Source organism: Homo sapiens, chromosome 1, assembly GCF_000001405.40.
Source record: "Homo sapiens chromosome 1, GRCh38.p14 Primary Assembly".
Lineage (NCBI taxonomy): Eukaryota > Metazoa > Chordata > Mammalia > Primates > Hominidae > Homo > Homo sapiens.
In genome coordinates, this window is record NC_000001.11 from 163,952,182 (window position 1) to 163,953,849 (window position 1,668).

At 50.2% G+C, this 1,668-nt stretch overlaps 1 annotated feature.

Annotated features, from left to right (window-relative positions):
• Window positions 925–1,094: an enhancer, noted in NCBI's record as "experimental_629 CRE fragment used in MPRA reporter constructs". NCBI's record gives its function as "activates a minimal promoter by MPRAs in K562 erythroleukemia cells, with activity observed for both the introgressed and non-introgressed 1:163922428 variant alleles {active_cell/tissue: K562}" and the evidence as "EXISTENCE:reporter gene assay evidence [ECO:0000049][PMID:34662402]".

A 1,668-nucleotide genomic window follows, 5' to 3' on the forward strand; every position in this document is an offset into this window, starting at 1 on the left:
CCTATAAAGAAATACAAAGTTTAAAAAAACAAAAACTTTTTTATTGTGGCTGGCAAGATGGCCGAATACGAACAACTCTGGTCTGCAGCTCTTAGCGAGATCAACGTAGAAGGCAGGTGATTTCTGCATTTCCAACTGAGGTACCTGGCTCATCTCGTTGGGACATCTCATTGGGTTAGACAGTGGGTGCAGCCCATGGAGGGCGAGCCAAAACAAGGTAGGGCATTGTCTCATCTGGGAAGCTCAAGGGGTTGAAGAACTCCCTCCCCTAGCCAAGGAAAGCCTTGAGGGTCTGTGCCGTGAGGGATAGTGCGTTCCAGCCCAGCTACTATGCTTTTCCCACTGTTTTCGCAACCCACAGACCAGGAGGTTCCCTCGGGTGCCTACACCACCAGGGCCCTGGGTTTCAACCACAAAACTGGGCAACCATTTGGGCAGACACCAAGCTAGCTGCATGAGTTTTTTGTTTTGTTTTGTTTTGTTTTTATACCCCAGTGGTGCCTGAAACACCAGCGAGACAGAACCATTCAGTCCCCTGGAAAGGGGGCTGAAGCCAGGGAGCCAAGTGGTCTAGCTCAGCGGATCCCAACCCCATGGATCCCAGTAATCTAAGATAAACTGGCTTGAAATTCTCATTGCCAGCACAGCAGTCTGAGGTCGACCTGGGATGCTCAAGCTTGGTGGAGGGGAGGGGCGTCCACCATTACTGAGGCTTGAGTAGGTGGTTTTCCCCCTACAGTGTAAACAAAGCTGTGGGGAAGTTCAAACTGGGCAAAGCCCACCACAGCTCAGCAAAGCCTCTGTAGCCAGACTGCCTCTCTAGATTCCTCCTCTCTGGGCAGGACATCTCTGAAAGAAAGGCAGCAAGCTTATAGATAAAACTCCCATCTCCCTGGGACAGAGCACCTGGTGGGGAAGGGGTAGCTATGGGTGTAGTACAGCACATTTAAACATTCCTGCCTGCCGGCACTGAAGAGAGCAGCAGATCTCCCAGCACAGTGGGGGAGCTCTGCTGATGGACAGACTGCCTTCTCAAATGGGTCACTGACCCCCGTGCCTCCTGACTGGGAGACACCTCCCAGCAGGGGTCGACAGACACTTCATACAGGAGAGCTCTAGCTGGCATCTGGTGGGTGCCCCTCTGGGATGAAGCTTCCAGAGGAATGAACAGGGAGCAATCTTTGCTGTTCTGCAGACTCTGCTGGTGATAGCCAGGCAAACAGGGTCTGGAGTGGGCCTCCAGCAAACTCCAGCAGACCTGCAGCAGAGGGGCCTGACTGTTAGAAGGAAAACTTAGAAATAGCATCACACCAAGAAAAAGGACGTCCACTCAGAGACCCCATCCAAAAGTCACCAACATCAAAGACCAAAGGTAGATAAATCCCTGAAGATGAGGAAAAACCAGCACAAAAAGGCTGAAAATTCCAAAAACCTGAACGCCTCTTCTCCTCCAAAGGATCACAACTCCTCGCCAGCAAGGGAACAAAACTGGACGGAGAATGAGTTTGACCAAAAGCAGAAATAAATAAGTTATTTGAAACCAAAGAGAACAAAGACACAACATACCAGAATCTCTGGGACACAGCTAAAGCAGTGTTTAGAGGGAAATTTATAGCACTAAATGCCCACAGGAGAAAGTGGGAAAGACCTAAAATTGACACCCTAACA